The sequence below is a fragment of the Homo sapiens genome, chromosome 16 (assembly GCF_000001405.40).
Source record: "Homo sapiens chromosome 16, GRCh38.p14 Primary Assembly".
In the NCBI taxonomy this organism is placed as follows: Eukaryota; Metazoa; Chordata; class Mammalia; order Primates; family Hominidae; genus Homo; species Homo sapiens.
This window is the reverse complement of record NC_000016.10, coordinates 66,667,123-66,691,449: the sequence shown is the minus strand read 5'-3', so window position 1 is coordinate 66,691,449 and position 24,327 is coordinate 66,667,123. Positions and strand designations below refer to the sequence as shown.

The 24,327-nt window shown below is 44.0% G+C and overlaps 1 protein-coding gene across 6 annotated transcripts in view, besides 2 other annotated features; it reads left to right on the top strand.

Moving 5' to 3' along the window:
- The window catches only part of CMTM4 (CKLF like MARVEL transmembrane domain containing 4), a 98,566-nt gene that overhangs the window by 5,294 nt on the left and 68,945 nt on the right, over window positions 1-24,327 (top strand). The window lies entirely within an intron of this gene.
- Window positions 14,241-14,742: an enhancer, noted in NCBI's record as "H3K27ac hESC enhancer chr16:66710611-66711112 (GRCh37/hg19 assembly coordinates)". NCBI's record gives its function as "activates a minimal SCP1, AML or CMV promoter by ChIP-STARR-seq in primed H9 embryonic stem cells {active_cell/tissue: H9 hESC(primed)}" and the evidence as "EXISTENCE:reporter gene assay evidence [ECO:0000049][PMID:30033119]".
- Window positions 16,317-16,520: a silencer, noted in NCBI's record as "fragment chr16:66708833-66709036 (GRCh37/hg19 assembly coordinates)". NCBI's record gives its function as "represses an EF-1alpha promoter that drives an FKBP-Casp9 reporter gene in an ReSE screen in HepG2 liver carcinoma cells {active_cell/tissue: HepG2}" and the evidence as "EXISTENCE:reporter gene assay evidence [ECO:0000049][PMID:32094911]".

Genomic DNA, 24,327 nt, shown 5'->3' with positions numbered 1-24,327 from the left:
AGATTACAGGCATGAGTCACTTACCTCCGCCTATATCTTTTCAAAATGAAACCTGTACGTATCTCTTAGTTGGGGAGAATGTCTAGTGTGGTTAAACAACTGATTTAAATTATCTTCTTCCTCCTTGTGTGAATTTTTTTTTTAAATGAATAAAGACAGTCTAATGAGACTGTGTTGCCCAGGTTGGTCGCAAACTGGGATTACAGGCGTGAGCCACCGCACCTGATCCACATCCCTTTCTTGAGCCCTTCCCATGCCTAGATGACTTTCTGACAATGTATTTGTATAGGACTTTTTAATAACAAAAGATGGGTAATAGGAATTTTTTTTTTAAGACAGATTTTTGTTCTGTCACTGCAGGCTGGAATGCAGTGGCATGATCATAGCTCACTGTAACCTCGAACTTCTGGGCTCAAGGGAGCCTCCTGCCTCAGCCTCCTGAATAGCCAGGACTACAGGCATGTGCCACTATGCCCTGCTATTTTTTTTTTTATTTTTGTAGAGACGAGGTCTTGCTATGTTGCCTCAAACTAGAGGCTAATCTCGAACTCCTGAGCTCAAGCAATCCTGCTGTTTTGGTCTCCCAAAGTGCTGGGATTACAGGTGTGAGCCACTGCGCCTGGCCTGGAAATGTTTAAATGCAAATTTTAGCTCAGCTGATTTTGATGTCTCTTAATCTCATCGAATCTGGGTTCCTCAGTTGTACAGTATGGGTAGTAATGACTAATTGACCATTTTAGGAATTGTAAGAATTAAGAGGTTAATGTTTGATAGTTGCTTTCTTACGTAACTCAAAAACAAATGTGAGTATTTGCACTTCAGGGGTGGGTAATGGCATCTCTTTTATTTGGTGGAAACCTTGTTAGTTTTTTAAATCTCAAGCCAGTCAGCACAATCCCTGGCTGGTTACTGTTCTCTGGAGGATGTGCAGGGGTGGGGCAGTAATACATTATAGAAATCATATGCAACACAAATATAGCTACATTTACAAAGCTGCAACTTTGAGAAATGACTGGCTGTAGACATAGCACTGAGCTTATCAGCCCCAAATCCCCTCAGTTCTGTTGGAGGGGCTGGTTCAACTGAGGTTCAGCTGGGTTCCTGATTCGTAAGAGCTGGTCAAATGACCAGGCAGACACACAATGACCCTGGTCAAACCGTGAAGGGTTCTGCGTTTTGTTTACTACTGAAGATTCCTTTGTACTTCTGGCTCCCATTTATCCCTGAAGTCATGCATATACAAGCGCATAATGGTAGATGAAGCAGTGGGTTTCTCTATGTTGGATTCTCAGATCCACCATTCTGTGGCTCCTTGTAAAACAGTCCCATTTTCCTTTAGGAAGATTGTTATCTTTAGGAGTTGTCTTCCTGATCAAGGACTTGGAGTCAAATAAATTCTGGCAGAAAAGCAAAGTTATAATTACTCTTAAGTTTTTTTGATGATTAAAAATAGTGAAATTATAATCCACGATCTCAAAAGAAGTTGTTAAATGTAGAGCGTACATGTGTTTTACAAAACCACACAAAGACAGTTCAAGAAAATGATACTACAGACCAATATTCCTTATATGAACACAGACACAGAAATCCTCAACAAAATACCATATAGAAAATAAAACCCAGCATAATGGAGAAAGAATAATACACCAAACCAATTTGATTTATCCCAGGAACAAAAAGGTTGGTGCAGTTTTTGAAAGTAAATGTTATAGGTGTACACCATATTAATAACTTAAAATAACAGGCCAGGCACAGTGGCTTATGTCTGTAGTCCCAGCACTTTGGGAGGCCGAGGCAGGTGGATTGCTTGAGCCCAGGAGTTCAAGACCAGCCTGGGCAACATGGTGAATCCCCTTCTCTACAAAAAATACAAAAATTAGCATGACATGGTTGTGCATGCCTGTAGTCCCAGCTGTAGGCTAAGGTGGGAGAATTGCTTGAGCCCAGGAGGTCAAGGCTGCGGTGAGCCGCGATCGTGCCACTACACTCCAGCCTGGGCAACAGAGTGAGACCGTTTCTCAAAAACAAAACAAAACCCAAAGCCACATGATTCTATCATTTGATGCAGAAAAAAAAAACTTTTGACAAAATTCAGTACTTTTCCATAATAAATGCTGTCAGCAAACTTGGAAGAGAAAGGAACTTCTTCAACCTGAAAAAGGGCATCTACAAAAAATCTACAGCTAACATTATACTGTAATATATAATGTTACAGTGGGGAAAGAATGAATGCTTTCCCCCATGATGGGAAACAGGCAATGATGTTTACTGTTACCACTCATATTCAAGATCATACTGGAAGTCCTAGCCGTTGCAAAAAAATTAATAGGAGACGTACAGATCAGAAATAAATAAAACTGTCCCTATTCGCATATGGCATGATTAGGTAGATAATCACATGGGAATCTATAAAAAACCTCCTAGAACTAATAAGTGAGTTAGCAAGGTTACAGGATATAAGGTCAACACACGATAACCAATAGTATTTTTATATCCTAGCAATAAATCATTGGAAATTAAAACAAAAAAACCAATATCAGTTATAACAGCACTCAAAAGAATGAAATTCTTAGATATAAATCTCACAAAACATGTATAGAATCTGCTCACTGAAAACTACAAAACACTGAAGTAAGAAATCAAAGATGACCAAAATAAGTAGACAGGCATTCTGTGTTCATTAGGATTGGAAAACTCAATATAGTTAAAATATTAGTTCTCCACAAATGATCTATAGGTTTAATACGATCCCAAAATCCTAGCAAGGTTTTTTTGTAGATAGAAGAATGCTGATTCTAAACTTTATATTAGCCAGGCAAAGGGCTAGTGATGGTTTATGGAGGTATGTTCCAGGGAGAGAGAACAATGACATGAAGTCACCCTTGTTTAGGGTAGAATGTGTGTGTGTGTGTGTGTGTGTGTTGAGGGGAGTGTTTCTGAGAGTATGATGGACTTCGTATCTCTTATCGGCCATGAGACTTTTGGCAAGCTACTTGTTCACTCAGGCCACAAGCAGATCTCCTGCAGGTCTCTCACTTGGGGATTGTAAGTTGGGGATAATGGTAGTATTACAGTGCTGGTGAGCCCACCATGCTCCCTAGCTCAGCGTCTCAAGACACCACGTCATCAAAGCCTGTTGGAGGTTGCTATGGTCTGAATGTTGGCATTCCCCCAAAATTCAGATGTTGGAACCTAACACCCAGTGTGATAGTATTAAGAGGTGGAGCCTTTTGGGAAGTAATTAAGTCATGAGGGCTCAGCCCTCATGAATGGGATTAGTGCCCTTTTAAAAGAGTTTGAAGGGAGTGTCCTTGCTCATTCTGCCATGTGAGGACACATAGAAAGTGCCGTCTGTGAAGAATGGGCCCTCACTCAGATACTGAATCTGCTGGCACCTGGATCTTGGAGTTTCCAGCCTCCAGAACTATGAGCAATAAATTTCTATTTATAAATTACCCATTTTGGCCAGGCGCGGTGGCTTACACCTGTAATCCCAGCACTCTGGGAGGCCGAGGCGGGCAGATCACAAGGTCAGGAGATCAAGACCATCCTGGCTAACACGGTGAAACCCGGTCTCAATGAAAAATATAAAAAATTAGCCGGGTGTGGTGGCAGGCGCCTGTAGTCCCAGCTACTCAGGAGGCTGAGGCAGGAGAATAGCGTGAACCCAGGAGGCGGAGCTTGCAGTGAGCCAAGATTGCGCCACTGCACTCCAGCCTGGGCGACAGAGCGAGACTCCGTCTCAAAAAAAAAAAAAAAAAAAAAAATTACCCTTTTTACGGTATTTGGTTATAGCAACCAGAACAGACAACAGACTGATAGTGATACAGAATATCTCTGGAATGATACAAGTTGGGGAGCTGGGTGGCCGAGGGCCAGGGTGTCAGGGAGACATTTTCTGCTGTATAACTGTTTGTACCTTTTGTATTTTATTTTATTTTATTTTATTTTTGAGACGGTCTCGCTATGTTGCCTAGGCTGGCCACAAACTCCTGGGCTCAAGCGATCCTCTTGCCTTCAGCTCCCAAAGTCCAAGGTTTACAGGCATGAGCCACTGCTCCCAGCCCTTGAATTTTGTACCACATGCAAGTACCTTCTATTCAAAAATTACTAAAATAGTAGATGTTACTAGCTTTACCTTAGTATAGCCTTAAAGCTCATATACTGACTGTAATCTTTAACTTTTCATGACTTTCTTTGTAATTTGGAGGCCCTTGGGAAGAATGATTTAGATAATACAGACCACTTGGACAAACTTGAAGCTTAAATTGTTTTAAAATGCACTTTTCTGTAAAAAAAAAAAAAAAAAAAGCATTCTGCACAATAGTGGGTGCTTAATAAATTTGTTGATGCTAATGGAAAACTTCTTCCATTTGAAAGGAATTTACCCTCATTTGTTAGTGAAAATGTTGTAACATTAAAGAAAATTAGAAATTAGAAAAATAATCATCGTATTATGACAGACTCAAATGAAAAGGACTTGGAAATTTTTTCCTTTCCAAAGGCTACATATGATCCCCTGTGGCAAAGTCTGGTGATTATGTTTTCTAGTTTTTTTGCTATTAGGAAGATGCGTCAATAAATGTCCTCATGAGTGTAGCCTGGATTCTTCTTTTGAATTATTATTTTTGGTTAAATTTCAAGGAGTGCTTTTACTACATCAAAGGACAAGACCACCACATTTCTGAACATTTAAAAAAAAAATACAGACTTGGTTGACATTTCCTCCCAAAGCATATCTGAAGGTCTCAGTTTATTCCAGGTTTCTAGTATGCTTACCCACAAGTACAGACAACTGGGAAATGGTGACCTCTGTAAGTCCTAATGGCTCCTCCTGGACCACAGGGCTAAATTAATTCTTTCTCCACAACTTTGGAGGAACTTTTTTTTTTTTTTTTTTTTTGAGACAGAGTCTGACTGTCACCCAGGCTGGAGTGCAGTGGCGCAATCTTGGCTCACTGCAACCTCCACCTCCTGGGTTCAAGCAATTCTCCTGCCTCCGCCTCCTGAGTAGCTGGGATTACAGGCGCCTGGCTAATTTTTGTATTTTTTGTAGAGATAGGGTTTCCCATGTTGGCCAGGCTGGTCTCGAACTCCTGAGCTCAAGTGATGTGCTCATCTTGGCCTCCCAAAGTGCTGGGATTACTGGTGTGAGCCACTGTGCCTGGCTGGAACTTTGTTGTTTTTTTTTTTTTTGGAGACGGAATCTTGCTCTGTCACCAGGCTGGAGTGCAGTGGTGCGATCTCGGCTCACTGCAACCTCCACCTCCTGGATTCAAGGGACTCTCCTGCCTCAGACTCCCCGAGTAGCTGGGACTACAGGCGCGTGCCACCACGCCCAGCTAACTTTTGTATTTTTAGTAGAGACAGGGTTTCACCATGTTGGCCGGGATGGTCTTGATCTCTTGACCTCGTGATCCACCCGCCTTGGCCTCCCAAACTGCTGGGATTACAGGCATGAGCCACCATGCCCGGCTCCAGAACTTTGTTCTTAATTAGAAATCAGGCCAGGCGCAGTGGCTCATGCCTGTAATCCTAGCACTTTGAGAGGCCGAGGTGGACAGATTGCCTGAGCTCAGGAGTTCGAGACCAGCCTGGGTAACGTGGTGAAACAAGATCTCTACTAAAAATACAAAAAATTATCCGGGTGTGGTGGCCTATGCCTGTAGTCCCAGCAACTCAGGAGGCTGAGGCACGAGAATCGCTTGAACCTGGGAGGCGGAGGTTGCAGTGAGCCAAAATTGCACCACTGCACTCCAGCCTGGGCAATAGAGTGAGACCCTACCTCAAAAAACAAACAAAAAAGAAATCAGTAAGAATCTTTCCCAGGTTATGGCACTCCAAAGGATGCTTAGAGGTAAGGACAGGGCTGTGTGTCAGGATGCTTCTCTCTCGGTAGAATGAATGCATACCTGGGTGCCTGGGAGAGAGCTCTTTCCAGCCTAAAGTCGTGCTGTACAGACTTGAGCTGCACCACACGTGTGGCCTACCCCATTAAGGACTGAGGTATGTCTGGAAGCTGGGGTTGATTTTTTTTTTTCTTCCCCCACAGCAGTCTTCCCTGAGCCATTGAAATAGCCTGGAAATACCAGCATGGAGTTTTCAGCCTATAGCTGTTATCACTGACTCTCGCATCCTTGTTTCTGGAAGTAACCCCAAATGCTTTTGCAGGATGACATGGGATTCCTTTGGAAAATAAAGTTACTTATTAGAGAATAGAGCAGAAGGGATCACAGATAATAAATTTTCCCAGACAGTCTCAATTTCCTGTGCTGCCTCATCAGACCATATATAAGTATAATCCTAAATTTTAAATAATTATTTTACTATAAATTGTGAAGTATTCTAAGCATTGAAATTACAGCAATTCATGTGACAGTACCCGTGTGCTCACAATATACCCTGATATTTTTATTTGGAAAATAAGGTGATTCCTGGAGAACAGGCTGTGTGTACAAGAGAAGTAACATGCAGGGTGAGATGAGATGGGATTTGGGTTCATTAGCCTCAGGGCTCCAGGAAGGAGGAAGGATATAGACTGGGAGAGGTGGAGAGGAAGAGAGCAGGGAACCCCTGCTCAGGGGGATGGCTTCGGCCTGTCAGCTGACTTAAACTTTGACCTCAGTTTGAAGTGGTCCAGGGCTCTAGAGCAGGGCTGCAGCAGGCTGGAGAAGAGGCCAATAAGTAGAAGGGCTCAAGCTCAGAAAGTGACACCTCCTGGGGGAGAAGATACTGCTTGTTTAAGTATTTGGAAACTATCCTATTTTTAAACAGTTTAACTTCTTGATGGGGGAGGATTTTTGTGAAAAATTCTCAACTTAAAGCAGTGGGTTGGGGGGTGTTCAGGCTTCATTGCAGTGCCTCTCGTGTGTGGCCTTTTCTCGAGATGGGGGCTATCACTGGTTTTCAGAGTGGGGTCCTGGGATCACTAGAGTTTATTAAGGTAGTAATGGGGGATTGAGAGAAAGAGGGCTGAGGGGTGCAGTGGCTCATGCCTGTAATCCCAGCACTTTGGGAGGCTGAGGCAGGCAGATCACTTGAGGTCAGGAGTTTGAGACCAGCCTGGCCAACATAGTAAAACCCAGTCTCTACTAAAAATGCAAAAAAAATTAGCTAGGCTTGGTGGTGGGTACTTGTAATCCCAGCTACTCGGGAGGATGAGGCAGGAGAATTGCTTGAACCCCGGGAGGTGGAGGTTTCAGTAAGCCGAGATCATGCCACTGCTCTCCAGCCTGGGCGACAGAGGGAGATTCTGTCTCAAAAACGAAAAAAAGAGGGCCTGGGTACTAATTATATTTCAAACAGTCTATACTCTAAACCACAGTAAGCAGAATAAGGCAGATTTCTGCTTACATTAAGCAGAATGAGGTAAAATTTCTTACCTCTGGCTGGAATTTTATAATACCGATTACTTCAGGTTGATCAGGAGCTTTCAGTAAGCTTTTGATTAATATGCACCTGCCTTCGTCTTTGCACTCAGGGTTTATTCTCTCATCCCTCACTCTCTTCCTGAAAATGCCCGCTTAGCTATTTTTATTTTTTAAATTAGGCAGCCTCCTGCACCGGAATAGGCTCAGAGAGATTCCCACTTGGCTCTGTTCTTCTGGTTCCCGCTCAAAAGAGACCTTCCCTATCCCCCCACATCTGGAATAGAACACTCCCCCACCCCACTCTGCCTTACTATTGACCCCTGTCACCCTGCTTGATTCTCCTCCAGAGCATTGACCATCCAGCTGGAAGGTCAGCTCCATGAGAGCAAAGACTTGGCTTTCAAGTTCCCTGCTGTATCCCGTGTCTAAACCAGGGTCTGGCACATAGGTGTTGAATAGACAGTTGAATGTATGTGTTTGTTTAATAAAAGAAAAAAAATGGGCCGGGCGTGGTAGCTCCCAGCACTTTGGGAGACCGAGGCAGGCGGATCACGAGGTCAGGAGATCGAGACCATCCTGGCTAACATGGTGAAACCCTGTCTCTATTGCAAATACAAAAAATTAGCTGGCCGTGGTGGTGGGCGCCTGTAGTCCCAGCTGCTCGGGAGGCTGAGGCAGGAGAATGATGTGAACCCAGGAGGCGGAGCTTGCAGTGAGCCGAGATCACGCCACTGCACTCCAGCCTGGGTGACAGAGCAAGACTCCGTCTCAAAAAAAAAAAAAAAAAAAAAAAGAAAAGAAAAAAATGGGTTATTAATGTAGTTTGTAAGGTCAAGTTTTTGAAAACATGGAATCCATGGGGAAAATTTATATATATATATATATGTATATATATATACATATGTATATATATATATACGTATATATATATACATATATATATATATATACACACACACACACACACACAACTAGACTCTATTTGAGGTGGAAAATATTGGAGAGAAACTATGGAAATAAAATGCCATCGTAATTACTTTTTCTTTTTTTAACTTTAAGTAGACTATCTACTGCTACTAGGAAACAGAAGATTTTGCTTAGGAGACAGATTTTTGTAAAAGTTGGGGAAACCATAAGAGGCTTTGCCAATCTTTTTGCCTAGAAAAGTGTAAAATGAAAACCAGGATTCTGTAATTATTATTGAAGTTGTCTGCTTTCTGATTAACACATTCAGAAAGAGAGAGGCTTGTATCTGTCAAGCAAGTATCTTTCAAGAGACACTTTTCAGGCAAAGAAAAAGTCACAACTGGCATTGAAGCTGAGGGTCATAGTGATTTTTTTTTTAAAGCTTTCTGATTAAAATAAAAGAACAACCGTTCCATGAGGCCTGCAAAGGGAGGCTGGCGATCTTCAGTGAAGGCTAGAGAAGGCTATGGGAAATACTGTTAAGCCAGCATTTTGTTGTTGACAATTTCAAATGAATGGTTAAGTTTGAGAATTAAATGAGTTAATAAACACTTAAAATGTTCAAAGTTTAATCAAGTGTGGATAGTTCTGGATGTTTTCTTTACTGCCACTGCGATTTGATGACTGGTGCAGTGGAAGCCTTCATTTTTGTGGTTTCCCATTTATTCCAGCACCACTGTGAAAAACAGTTTAAGGCTAAAAGATTTTTGTGCCAGTGGAAAAAAAAAAAGAAAAACAACCCAGAAACAATGGCTCTTCCAGGGGTAGTTGCTTCCTCAGCTTGTCTACTTTCTTTCACCCATTTTCAGGCCAAGCCCTAGAAATGTGTATAACTTGAGATTAAGTGTTGGCTAAATAACTTGAAAGTTAAATCAAGATCAGTAACTAGATGTCAGTAAAAATGCTATCATTCACCCCTTTTTAAAAAATCCATACTTTATATACATTTGAGTGCCTAGGGTGGGCCAGGTACTATTAGAAATAAGACAAAAATCTCTGCCTCCAAAGAGCTCCCAGAGCTCTTGGGAGTAAGGGTTTGGAGTGGGGCAGACAAAAGTACACAAACCATTGGACCACCTGAGCCAGGGGCTGTGATAGAGGCCTGGCGATAGTGGGCTTGGCAGGAAGCACTTGTGGCCATTTGGGAAAGGGGCACATTGCTGTAAGATGCTGAATGGCCAATGCCTGGAATAAGGAGGGTGTGCCTGTGGCAAAGGAATATCCCAGGTGCTAGGGTCCAGCCCAGAAAGGCGTGGTAAGAGGTGAGTCAAGTGTGGTTCACCAGGCAAAGGTATGGAAGGGAAGGGCAAGTGATTTGACAAATGGGGCAAGATGAGGGGGACCCAGGCTGGTGAGGGGCCGATTTGTTAGCCTGATGAAATTGGATTTTTCTAAAAGAGATGGGGAACAGTTATAACTGTGGCTATTGAGCGCTTGAAATGTGGCTGGTACGAATTGAGATATGCATAAATACAAAATACACCCTGGATTTTAAAGATTTAATAGGGAAGGCTGGGCGCGGTGGCTCACGTCTGTAATCCCAGCACTTTGGGAGGCCAAGACGGGTGGATCCCAAGGTCAGGAGATCAATACCATCCTGGCTAACATCTCTACTAAAAATACAAAAAAATTAGCTGGGCGTGGTGGCGGGTGCCTGTAGTCCCAGCTACTTGGGAGGCTGAGGCAGGAGAATGGCATGAACCCGGGAGGTGGAGCTTGCAGTGAGCCAAGATCAGGCCACTGCACTCCAGCCTGGGCAACAGAGCAAGACTCGGTCTCAAAAAAGAAAAAAAAAAAGATTTAATAGGAAAAAAAGCATGTCAACTATCATTAATAATTTTATACTGATTATATATTGAAGTAATATTTTTCATTTGTTTTTCCTTTATAGAGACAGGGTCTCACTGTGTTGCCCAGGCTGGTCTGGAACTCCTGGCCTCAAGTGATCCTTCTGCCTCAGCCTCCCAAAGTACTAGGATTGCAGGTGTGAGCCACTGTGTCTGGTCAATATTTTGGATATATTGGATTGCATAAAATATACTATCCAAATTCTACTTTTTTACGTTTTAAAATATGGCTATTAGAAAATTTTCAGTTGCATGTGTGGCTTACGTATTTCTGTTGGATATTTCTAGGTTAGAAGGTGTGTGCAATGGCTTTGAGAAGGGTGAGATTATTGCAGCAGGACCTGGTCAGAGACTTTGAGTAGATCCAGTGAGAAAAGAAGGCTTAACTAACTGGTCTTTTGGCAGTGGAGATGGAAAGGACATAACTAAATGAGAGAGAGTTAAGAGGTGGAGGTGGCCATTATGGTTTTTTTTTTTTTTTTTTTTTTTTTTTGAGACGGAGTCTTGCTCTGTTGCCCAGGCTGGAGTGCAGTGGCACGATCTCGGCTCACTGCAAGCTCTGCCTCCCAGGTTCATGCCATTCTCCTGCCTCAGCCTTCCGAGCAGCTGGGACTACAGGTGCCCGCCACCACGCCTGGCTAATATTTTGTATTTTTAGTAGAGACGGGGTTTCACCGCGTTAGCCATGATGGTCTCGATCTCCTGACCTCGTGATCTGCCCGCCTTGGCCTCCCGAAGCGCTGGGATTACAGGCATGAGCCACCATGCCCGACCTTTTTTTTTTTTTTGAGATGGAGTCTCACTCTGTCACCCAGGCTGGAGTGCAGTGGTGTGATCTCGGCTCACTGCAGCCTCTGCCTCCTGGGTTCAAGCAATTCTCGGGCCTCAGCCTCCCGAGTAGCTGGGATTACAGGCACCCACCACCACACCTGGCCAATTTTTGTATTTTTAGTAGAGACAGGGTTTTACCATGTTGGTGAGGCTGGTCTGGAACTCCTGGCCTCAAGTGATCCATACGCCTTGGCCTCCCAAAGTGCTGAGATTATAGGCATGAGCCACTGTGCCTGGCCGGCAGTTATGATTTATTATATTTCTTGCTTTTAGTTTACAGTACATTAAATTCATTTCTCAATCAATAAATGATACTAAAGGTAGCACTGAAGTGTGCATTGCTATGTGCCAGATTGCTAAGTGTTTTATTTGTGTTACCTCATTTAACGTTCATGGCAAGCTTATCAGGCAGGCACTGTTAATGTTGCCATTTTACAGATGCAGAAACAGAAGCCTATTGGGGTCAATAACTGGCTAGCTGGTGGGGAGCTGTGCAGTCTACCTTCCAAGGCCAGAGCCCCCGTGTGAGTTTGTTTCTGTAACCATTAGGCGGATTGTGAGCATTGCTCCAGCATCACTCATCGGTCTCATCTTTTTTTTTTTTTTTTTTTTGACATAGAGTCTCGCACTGTCACCCAGGCTGGAGTGCAGTGGTGTGATCTCAGTTCACTGAAACTTCCACCTCCCAGGTTCAAGCGTTTCTCTTGCCTCAGTCTCCCGAGTAGCTGGGATTACAGGCACCCAGCACCACGCCCGGCTGATTTTTATATTTTTAGTAGAGACAGGGTTTCACCATGTTGGCCAGGCTGGTCTCGAACTCCTGACCTCTAGTGATCTGCCCACCTCGGCCTCCCTAACTGCTGGGATTACAGGCATGAGCCACCATGCCCGGCCTCATCAGTCCCATCTTACATTGACTTGGTCCGTTTCTGTTTTCCCCTCTGCTGGCTCTGCTCCTGGGGGGGTCTCCAGCCTCAAGAGAACCCTTTTTGCATAATTCAGGGGTCACATCTCTCAGAGTCAGGGGAGAAGGGGGGCCCTCAGTTCTTCTTTCTCCTTGGATTATTGATAAAATTTAAGAATTGCTAAAATCAGAACCAGTAAAAGTGATGAGGAAGCTGGAAGCCATCTTTTCCCATGGAGCGGGGTAAAGAAGTGAAAATTGAGACTTGATTGTCATCCTTCTTGCCAGCAGACTTCAAAGTGTTTGGGGTTGGATGAATTATTGACCTAGAATTTTTTTCTTTACTTCTTAGAACAGCGAATACAGAGTATTGGCACTTGTTTTGGACTTTAACTTGTTTGTAGATATTAAAGGATAATTTTTTTTTTTTTTTTAGATGGAGTCTTGCTCTGTCACCCAGGCTGGAGCGCAGTGGCATGATCTTGACATACTGCAACCTCTGTCTCCTGGGCTCAAGTGATCCTCCCACCTCAGCCCCCCAAGTAGCTGGGACCACAGGCGTGCACCACCATGCCTAATTTTTGTACATTTTGTAGAGATGGGGTTTCGCCATGTTGCCCAGGCTGGTCTTGAACTCCTGGACTCAAGTGATCCACCTCAGCCTCTCAAAGTGCTGGGATTACAGTCGTGAGCCACTGCTCCTGGCCAAAGAATAATTTTTTAAAGATAAAATCATGACTCATACAAATGTAAAGTATTTTATTAATTAATGAGGGAAACAGTAGGACATTACAACCAGCCAAAGGAAAATTCAAAGAGCAGACACATGCACACACATGTTCCATGAAATCAATTTCAAATACATGCAACTCTGGCTTGGAGTTGAATCAATTGTCTCTCCACCAGACAGAATTAATTTGCCTATTTATAGATGAGGATCATTTGCATTGCTGTCAGTTATGTACAGTTTAACAGAGTTACAAATAGCTCAAGGACAATGAAAGGTGCAAATACCATAGGATCAGATAACTTGGAAAGTTATGTTCTAACAAGGCCTAGTTTTCCATCAAAGATACTTGGTATTTTTGGTTCATTTCGAAAGCATTCACAATTTATGTTGAAATGGGGACTATGTGGCGAGAGGGGGCTGGATTTTTATCCAGCTCATCATGTTGGAACCTCCCAATTTCATTTGTTTCTTTCTCTCCCTTTCCTCTGTTCCTCTAGCCTGAGAGGGGAGCCCTGCATCTCCGGGTTGCTGGAGGAGCATTCTTTATGGCTTTGTGCTCTCCTCTCTGGATTTTCATTTTTCTCTTTTTCCCCTGATGGCTTTGCTTTTCATTTCTTTTGTTTTTAGAGATGAGGCCTCACTGTGTTGCCCAAGCTAGAGTACAGTGGTGTGATCATGGCTCACTGCACCTTGAATTCCTGGGCTCAAGTGATCTCCTGCTTCAGTTTGCTGAGTAGCTGGGAGTATAGGCACGTGCCACCACACCTGACCCTGGTCACTTTTCTTCACGAAAATAGATCTTGAGGCCGGGCACGGTGGCTCATACCTGTACTTCCAGCACTTTGGGAGGCTGAGGCGGGCAAATGACCTGAGGTCAGAAGTTTGAGACCAGCCTGGCCAGCGTGGTGAAACCCAAACTCCAAAATATAAAACTTAGCAGAGCATCATGGCACATGCCTATAATCCCAGCTACTTAGGAGGCTGGGACAGGAGAATCACTTGAACCCAGTAGGTGGAGATTGCAGTGAGCTGAGACCATGCCATTGCACTGTAGCCTGGGCAACAGAGTGAGATTCTGTCTCAAAAAAAAAAAAAATCTTGACCACCTACACTTAGGACCATGCCCTTTAGGCCTCAGCTTGGCCTTTAAGGGCCTGTGTCAGGCTAGAATGATTAGGAGTAGGAGTACAGATAAGACTACCTGTCACCATAGGGTTGGTATGAGGTGGCCGTGGGAAACATTTGATGAGTGTTGTTATTGTTAAAATGTCCATGGGCGCTTAATTTAGCCAGGTTCTGGTCCAGTCACTTTCCCATTCAGATTCTCTCCACGTAAATCTGCCAGCCTCAGCCTGGCTGGAAGCTCTTGTTCCCCACAATAACACGCTGCTGCTGCAAGGCCGCTGCTGCCGTTTGCCCAGCCTACAGATGCCCCAGAAGTCAGTGGGCCAGGGTGAGGCAGGGCCTCATGTCCCCTTCCCTACTTCCCTGCCCCCACCTGTCTTCCTCTGGTCCTGCCATGCCTGGCGTCACTGGTTTTTCTTTTCTTTTTTATATATTTTTTTGAGACAGGGTCTTGTTCTGTTTCCCAGGCTAGAGTATAATGACACAATCATGGCTCACTGCAGCCTCAACCTTCCTCGTCCCAAGTGGTCCTAGACCCTCAGGCTCTAGAGTAGCTGGGACTACAGGTGTGCTACCACGCCTGGCTAATTTTGTGTTTTGTAGAGACAGGGTCTTAACATGTTGCCTCAGCTGCTCTTGAACTCCTGGGCTCAAGCTGCCCTGGCCCCCAAAGTACTGGGATTACAGGCATGAGCCACCACACCTGGCTGTCACTGGTTTTTCTCTGTTCTGATTGGTGTCCTGCGATGAAGCACTATTTTACATTACATATGTCCCTGACTCTCTGGGCACTGGCTTTCTGAACAGATTTGGATAATAAGGAATACTTATGTTCTACTGTAGTAAGTTTATAAACATCTGCATGGCAGAGGCCCAGTTTTCTTCTGTAAAGTGCTCACAGTGGTGATCACTTGGTAAGCATTTGCCGGCTCAGCCAAGTTCAGTTTGATGGTGTTGGGAAGTTTGGAACAAGTCACAAATCAAGGAAGAAAAGAAACAACTAATTCATGTTGAAGGTGAATACATGATATAAATCAATAACGAAGGGTCAAGGTGGCTCCAGTCAGAAACTCAAGAGTTTTAGACTCTAAGGGATCGTGAAGTTATTGTGCGCCTCCCTTGTTTTACAGGTGAGGAATCTGACCCCTAGAGAAGTTGGGACTTTCCTGTAGCTACCCCGTTGTTTGGTGGCCCTGGGAGCTGAGCCTCAGGGTCGCATTCTTTCCCCATGCTTTACTTTTGCTGCCATAGGGATGGAGGTTTGATCCTTTCTGTGAGGCAAGATGTGGGACAGTTCTGTGATTTGTGATCATCTTTCTTGTCCGTTATATGGTTATGGGGAGAGACAGAATTATGAAGAGCCTTAGGCGTTTTTTGGAATAGTAGTTTAGGAAAGACCGTATATGACACATCAACTCTTTGTGATGTTCTGTGTAAAGAGCAAGTATTTAACCAACTCAGGCAATTGCCCAAGTGAATGTACTGGGGCAGGCAATTAATTGACTGAGAGCCCCAAAGTTTGTATTGCAACAAAATCCTGGTGTTGGATATAACTTTGCCTTACTGTCTATGATAGTAAAGTGAGAACAGGATAATTTGACAGCAAATTTGTCTACATTCCCGTTAGAGTGTGATTTATTTATTTTTTTTTTAGCTGGGCATGGTGGCATGTGCTTATAGTTCCAGTTCCTTGGGTGGCAGAGGCGGGAAGAGTACGAGGAGACTGGGAGTACGAGGTTACAAGCTATGATCGCACCACTGCACTCCAGCCTGGGTGACAGAGTGAGGTCCTATCTTAAAAAAATAAAATAAGTATTTAAAAAATAAATAGTGTGGTTTTAGAGCTGGAACTGGGGAAACAGGCCCCCACTTGTCGTGTGTAAATAATTTGCACGGCTGTTCGGTCCTGCAGTGTGTGGCGCTGGTGGAGGTGGTGGTAAGTGGTTGCTGGTGGTGTGTTGCTCAAAGATGGCTGAGGAGTCACTGTGCATGTCCATGTCTCACCTTCACTAGATGCTTTGGAAAAGCTTCAGCTGTTGGTTTGGGTTGGGGGCCTAGGGACTGTCAGGCTGGTTAAATGAGTGAAGCCCACAAGAAATGACTAACTGCTAGGTCGCAGGGAGCCCAGCAGGGCCAGGGGTCTGCAGAACTTCTCCTTTGTGTCTTTGCCTCCATGGAGTTCTGTAGGTGGCCTGCAGGTTTTTTTTTTTTTTTTTTTTAATGAATAATAAAGTCTACCATTGTGTCTCAGATCAGATCAATATAAAGGAAAAAATTTTTGTTAAAATTCTGGCTGTTGGCTGGGCGTGGCTCACACCGGTAATCCCAGCACTTTGGGAGGCCCGAAGAGGATGGATCACCTGAGGTCAGGAGTTTGAGACCAGCCTGGCCAACATAGTGAAACCCCATTTCTACTAAAAATACAAAAATTAGCCGGGCATGTTGGCGCATGCCTGTAATCCCAGCTATTTGGGAGGCTGAGGCAGGAGAATCACTTGAACCCAGGAGGCAGAGGTTGCAGTGAGCTGAGATCACTCCATTGCACTCCAGCCTGGCCAACAGAGTGAGACTCTGTCTCAAAAAAAAAAATTAAAAAAAAAATTTTTTTAAGTAAAGAAAAGAATATGTAGCACCAGGCAGGTGCGGTGGCTCACGCCTGTAATCCCAGCACTTTGGGAGGCCGAGGCGGGTGGATCACCTGAGGTCAGGAGTTTGAGACCAGCCGGCCCAACATGGTGAAACCCCACCTCTACTAAAAATACAAAAAATTAGCTGGGTGTGGTGGCAGGCACCTGTAATCCCAGCTACTCAGGAGGCTGAGGCAGGGGAATTGCTTGAACCCGGGAGGTGGAGGTTGCAGTAAGCTGAGACTGTGCCACTGCACTCCAGCCTGGGCAACAAGAGCAAAACTCCATCTCAAAAAAAAAAAAAAAAAAAAAAAAAAGAATATGTAACACCTTTCAGCACTTGGTCCTCTGTGAGGTCTGTAGATGATGATGTATTCAACACCAAATGACGGAATGAACACAGATACACAGGTAGCTTGCTGACTCGTTTCGATGAGAGCATCCATTTGTTGAAATTCCACTTGAACCTAATTCCAGTGGAAATTAGTTTCCACTGAGAACCTAAGTTACCATCAGCATATCTGTCAAGCAGTTGATGTTGTGTGATGGGCAGTAGAGACTAATGCAGATAACCTGTTAGAATTTCCGCTGTAGTTGTCCCTGTCTGGGTGTGTGCACCGAGGGGCCTTTGTGACCATCTGGGCTGCTCCTGGGCCATGTCCGTCCCTGTCTCTGCAGTGTTGGCCTGAGTTGCCAGGAGCAGATACCTGGGTTCCTTTGGGTTTCCTGCAGGACTCACTAGTAAGCCAGGCCTTTGAGGGAGCCTTGGAAGGGCCAAGCAGCTGGGCCTCAGGAATCTTGGGGACTCATGAATCCAAAGGGACTCAGCTTTTCCATCTATCTGGTCAAGTGCAGCCTGTGGCCCCTGGGTCCCAAAGGCCTATGTCCTCCCTTCGCAGACCAGACTGTGACCCAACTGCATCTGAAAGAGAACTTGGCTCTGCCTAGCTCCATGCTAGCCTCACTAGCCTAAAGCCAACCAAGTGCTTCCTCCTCTGCCAACTGGGCATGAGAGGGATCTGCCCACCAAGCTTGTCTGGCAGGGGCTGATGAGCACTGGCTGCCTTGCTCTGAGAACTTGGGGGCAAAAACTGGCTGGTGGAATGCAGTGGCCATGGCCCCATTGTGGAAGACAGCACATGGCACTTTGTCTCAGATAACCAAGGACTGGCCACCATTGACCTCAAAGAATCCCACGACCAAGACTATTTCAGGACCTGAGCGGAAGTTGCAAACATGCAAAGGAAGGTGGTGTTCTCAATAAAATGTCAATCCCCTGTTTGGTTACTGCCAAGAAGAGAACACTGGCTGAGGAAAATACTGTGTTTTAAAGTAAGTAAACTGCAAGGAGTATGTAAAAAACATTGCTGTCTGGCTTGTTTGCAGTGGGAAACACAATCTCTTGCTTTAAGGAATGCCATATTAAGAGGCCCTGTGGAACAAACCACATTTCACTGTTAAGTAGCTGCACAAAAGTACAGTACAACATTGTGAATCTGCAGTGTGCACACTGAGGCATTTTCTGTAAATAATAGTATAACGTGGGCCGGGTGCAGTGGCTTATGTCTAATTCCAGGACTTTGGGAGGCTGAGGTGGGTGGATCCCTTGCATCCAGGAGTTCGAGACCAGCCTGGGCAGCACAGGGAGACCCTGTCTCTACAAAAAATAAAAAAATTAGCTGAGCATGGTGGTGTGAGCCTGTAGTCCCAGCTACTTGGGAGGCTGAGGTGGGAGGATTGCTTGAGCTTAGGAGGTTGAGGCTGCAGTGAGCTCTGATTGTGCCACTGCACTCCAGCCTGGATGACAGAGTGAGACTCTGTCTCAAAAAAAAAAAAAAAGACTGGGTGTGGTGGCTCACATCTGTGATCCCAGCACTTTGGGAGGCTGAGGTGGGAGGATCACTTTAGACCAGCCTGGCCAACATGTGAAACTCCGTCCCTACTAAAAAATACAAAAAAAAAAAAAAAAAAAAAAAAATTGGTGTGGTGGCGCGTGCCTGTAATCCCAGCTTCTTGGGAGGCGGGGGCAGGAGAATCACTTGAACCTGGGAGGCTGAGGTTGTGGTGAGCCGAGATTGCACCACTGTGATGGGAGCAAGACTCCGTCTCAAAAAAAAAAAAAAAAGCCAGGCGCAGTGGCTTACACCTATGATCCCAGCACTTTGGGAGGCTGAGGTGGGAGGATCACTTGAGGTCAGGAGTTCAAGACTAGCCTGGCCGACATATGAAACTCCGTCTCTACTAAAAATACAAAAAAAAAACAAAACAAAAAACTAGCTGGGTGTGGTGGCACGTGCCTGTAATCCCAGCTTCTTGGGAGGCTGAGGCAGGAGAATCGCTTGAACCGGGGAGGCTGAGGTTGTAGTGAGCCGAGATCGCACCACTGCAATCAGAGACTCCATCTCAAAAAAAACAAAAGTGTAACTCAAAAGTGACCCTTAAGAATCAGAGGAATAATAAAAGATTGTTTAGTGGAGTTGCAGGTATTACATTTTCTGAGATATGTTACTAACTTATATATTACATAGGTTATATTATCAGCCTATATATAATAATATATACATATTATATATATATAAGTTGTTGCAAAAGTAATTACGGTTCTGGTCATTAGGTTTTTTTTTTTTTTTTGAGACGTAGTCTTGCTGTGTCTCCTCCCATCTGTCTCCCAGGCTGGAGTGCAGTGGCTCAATCTCGGCTTATTGCAACCTCCGTCTCCTGGGTTCAAGTGATTCTCCTGCTTCAGCCTACTGAGAAGCTGGGATTACAGGCGCACACTGCCACACCCAGCTAATTTTTTTTTTTTGTATTTTTAGTAGAGACAGTGTTTCACCATGTTGGCCAGGCTGGTCTCAAGTTATCCACCTGCCTCGGCCTCCCAAAGTGCTGGGATTTCAGGCATGAGGCACTGTGCCCGGCCTGGTCATTACTTTTAATGACAAAAACTACAATTACTTTTGCACCAACATATGTGTTATAAATATATCCTGATAGATTATATATACGTGTGTGTGTGTGTATTTTGAGACACGGTCTAACTGTGTTGCCCAGGCTGGAGTGCAGTCATGATCATGGCTCACCACATCCTCGACCTGCCGGGTCCAAGTGATCCTCTGTAAGTCTCCTGAGTAGCTGGGACCACAGGTGTGTGCCACCACACCACTCCTGGCTAATTTTTTTTTTTAAATATTTTTTTGTAGAGACCGGGTCTCCCTGTGTTACCCAGGCTGGAGATTATATATTTGAAATATTCATTACTGGTCTGTCTGTCCTCTCATCATGTTGCTAATTTCACTGAATGCCAGAGGGCATCTGATGGTCTATTTGGGTAGAGTTTTCCCAGCTAGGCCAAGTTATAGGTGCCTGGCCAGCCTGTGGGTTGGTGCCCCTGGGTCAGGTGCCCACTCCTCTTGTGTGCTAAGGATTCTGAGCATGACAAGCTGTGTAAGCAACAGTCTGGAGTCACTTTCCTTGGAGGTTCAGGGGAGAGGAGGAGAAGATAAGGGATGAGAATGGAATGGTTAGTTCTAGAAGGGATCAGTGAGCCCGCTGATGTTTTCCTATGAAACCATTGTTGTTCTCTCCATCACAAGTCTTTGCTGAGTGCTACCCTTTCCTTCACACCTCTTCCAAATTTTCTGTCTCCCCTGGGCCCACTCCCGTCTTTGTTTCCATCTCAGGAGGCCTTCGGCCTCTTCACCATCACTTACAGGTCTCCTTCCATCCAGCCACCCGTGCCGCTTGCCTGATTCCTTCCCCTCTATTTGGAGACTCCCGAAGTTAGCCCTTCTCTTTGAGAAGGCTTCCCTGTTTCTATTCTTCATTCTCCAGCCGCACATCTGGTGAAGTGTCTTTTGGGAATCTGGTACTGTATGAGGCTTACAAAGCTGCTTTACGTCAAGGAGCTTACAGTCAAGTCATACATAAATTTGTCTGTAATATAAATATCAGTTTTTTTATCTTGAATATTTTCCAAAATGGCAAAAACTTACTCTCTGATTACAAAAAAATTTGTGTCCCTTGTTTTAAAAAGTCAGACTGATGTAGAAAAATAGAGAAAAAAGTAAAAATACTGGTGTTCTCCTCAGCTAGAGAGGACTCCCATTAACAGTTAGGTCTACATTGTTTTGGACTTTGTTCCCATGCGCATACTTGTAAAAATGGGTTATTACACATACCACAGTTTGCTTCAGGGTATGATGCAGAGTGGTTTTTGAAATTACAGATTTACATTATTACTTTTTTTTTTTTTATATGGAGTCTTGCTCTGTTGCCAGGCTGGAGCGCAGTGGCCCGATCTTGGCTCACTGCAACCTCCACCTCCTGGGTTCAGGCGATTTTCCTGCCTCAGCCTCCTGAATAGCTGGGACTACAGGTTCGTGCCACCACGCCCAGCTAATTTTTGTATTTTTAGTAAAGACGGGGTTTCACCATGTTGGCCAGGATGGTCTCAGTCTCTTGACCTCGTGATCCGCCTACCTCGGCCTCCCAAAGTGCTGGGATTACAGGCGTGAGCCATCGTGCCTGGCTACATTATTACTTTTAAGAACTTTTTATGGAAGTGCAATATACGTATAGAGAAGTGCACGATTTTTTTTTTTTTTTTTTTTGAGACAGAGTCTTGCTCTGTCGCCCAGGTTGGATCTTGGCTCGCTGCAGCCTCTGCCTCCCAGGTTCCAGTGATTCTTCTGCCTCAGCCTCCTGGGTAGCTGGGATTACAGGTGCATGCCACCAAGCCTGGCTAATTTTTGTATTTTTTTTTTTTGGTAGAGACGGGGTTTCACCATGTTGGCCAGGCTGGTCCCAAACTCTTAACCTCAGGTGATCTGCCCGCCTTGGCATCCCAGAGTGCTGGGATTACAGGCGTGAGCCATCGTGCCCGGCCGAAGTGCACAAATTTTAAATACACAACTAAGATCTGAACATGATGCTTTGTTATGCTTTAGCCTCTCTCTGGTTGGCTCCATGTAGTAGACTCTCTCTTGCTTTTGTTTTGGCTGCCATTTTGAAAATTGCTTTGTTTCCTTCTTTACATTATTTTTGTTTCATGATTAAGTGGCAAAATTGAAGGCTTTATTCTCTACTTTGAATCTAAAACAAATAGTTAAGGCTGATTTAGAATTCGTCATATAGGTTTGAATTAAACAAATCTAATAAAGGAGTGTGCACCATTTTCTTTCTGAGAGCATTAAAAAATCCAGCAAATGGCTGGGCACAGTGGCTCACGCCTGTAATCCCAGCACTTTGGGAGGCCGAGGTGGGTGGATCACAAGGTCAGGAGATCGAGACCATCCTGGCTAACACAGTGAAACCCCATCTCTACTAAAAATACAAAAAAAAATTAGCCAGGCATGGTAGCGAGTGTCTGTAGTCCCAGCTACTTGGGAGGCTGAGGCAGGAGAATGGCGTGAACCTGGGAGGCAGAGCTTGCAGTGAACTGAGATTGCTCCACTGCACTCCAGCCTGGGTGACAGAGTGAGACTGTCTCAAAAAAAAAATCCAGCAAATGTTTGAGCTATAGAGGTTTGGGCACATGCCAAGGATGTTGGTGGTCTTCACATGCTCTTTTTTTTTTTTTTTTTAATTAACATGTAGTAAATTGACTTTTTTTGGTGTACAGTACTATGAGTTTTAGCATGCACATATATTCGTGTAGCCACTACCATAATGAGGATACTGAACAACAGTTTCATCAACCCACAAAACTTCCTCGTTCCCTTTCTTTGTAGTTACATCCAATTCTTGGCAACCTCATCTGTTTCTCATCAGTATAGTTTTGTCATTTCCAGAATGTCACAGAAATGGAATCATAAGTATGTACTTTTAAGACTGTCTTTCATTCAGTGTAATGCATTTGATATTCATTCATGTTGTATTTTATGAATAGTCATTCCTTTTCATTGCTGAGTAGTTTTCCATTGTAGGCATGTCCCACAGTTTCTTTATTCACCTGTTAAAGGGCATTTGAGTTATTTGCAACTTTTGGTGATTATGAATGGAGTTACTGTAAATATTCATACCATTTTTTTCTGTGAATGTAGGTTTTTATCTCACTGGGGTTAATACCCAGGAGTGAAATTGCTGGGTCATAGAGTACGTGTTTCACTGTACAGGAAACAGCTAAGCAGTTTTCCAGCGTAGCTATACCATTTTGTATTCTTCCCAGCAGTACATGGGAGTTCCAGTCGCTCTGCCTCTTGGCTAGCCCTTCATAGTCCTTTTTTTTAAAGCTGTTGTAATATTCTTTTTGTTGACGCAGATGAGAAATTAATTTTATTAGGAATAATATAAAGAAATAAATACCAGCAAGTTTCTCAACTCTTCAAAACTCATGGTGATTTTAAGGTAATAGTCAAAAGCTTATTTAGGGACAGTGAAGTGTTGTCATCTGTTTTCCTCAGAGATCCTAAAATATATGACATTCTAGATTTCCAAGTTCAACAATTCAAATCTTACTCATAATATTATGACACTTTAAAGTTATCCAGATTTTATTACATTCCAAATGCCAAAAATGAGGAGTTAAATCAAATTATGTATATTTACTTTAGGATCAACAAAAAATTTTAGTATATTCTAAGAATAGTAAAGAAAAAGCAAAAACATGGACAGATATTTCCAAAAACAATCCATAAGTTCTGTGGTCATAGCAACTCTACAAAACACCAGCAAGGCATCAGAATGGCCATAAGCAGAACTTAGTTTGTATAGAATCAAGCATACAAACCAACCAGAAAATGGGGCTGGGCATGGTGGTTCATGCCTGTAATCCCAGCACTCTGGGGGGCTGAGGTGGGAGGATCACTTGAGTCCAGGAATTTGAGACCAGCCTGGGCAACATAGCGAAACTCTGTCTTTACACAAAATTAAAAAAAAAAAAAAAATAGCTCTGTTGGTGGTGTGACCTGTAGTCCTAGCTACTCAGGAGGCTGAGGTGGGAGGACCCTTGAGCTGAGCAGTTGGAGGCTTCAGTGAGCAATAATTCTGCCACTGTACTCCAACCTGGGTGACAGTGAGACCCTGTCTCTCAAAAACCAAAAGCAAAACAAACAAACAAAAAACTCACAAAAAAAACAAAAAAACAGGGAAAAGTTTTGGTTCATATAAAGCAAAGAAAACAGAAGAAATATTATTTCCAAAGATGGTAACTACTTTTTTTTTTGAGACAGAGTCTCGCCCTATCAGCCAGGTTGGAGTGCAGTGGTGTGATCACGGCTCACTGCAACCTCTGCCTCCTGGTTCAAGCGATTCTCCTGCCTCAGCCTCCTAAATAGCTGGGATTACAGGCACACACCACAACACCTGGCTAATTTTTTGGATCTTTAGTAGAGACGGGGTTTCACCATGTTGACCAGGCTGGTCTTGAGCTTCTGACCTCGTGATCTGCCCACCTCGGCCTCCCAAAGTGCCGGGGTTACAGGCATGAGCCACCGCACTCGGCCCTTTTTTCTTTTTTAAACTTTGTAAAGTTCATATGTTAATATCAAAAGGTAATGTAAGGGAAGCTGATATGCATTTTGAACTGTGTGTAAATGCATCTTATGTATGTAGGTGTGATATTACATATGACGACACATTTCTACAAAGAAAATGGAGTCATTTAATATCACAACCTGAAATGTAGTACATAGCAGGTCCCTAGTTCATTGCTTTATAAAACCTTCACGTTTGTTATTTTATTTTACAACTTTTATTTTTTTATTTTTTATTTTATTTTATTTTTTTGAGAGGGAGTCTTGCTCTGGTGCCCAGGCTGGAGTGCTGTGGTGCCATCTCAGCTCACTGTAGCTTCTGCCTCCCAGGTTCCAGCGATTCTCCTTCCTTAGCCTCCCGGGTAGCTGGGATTACAGGCATGTGTCACCACACCCAGCAAATTTTTGTATTTTTAGCAGAGATGGGATTTTGCCATGTTGGCCAGGCTGGTCTC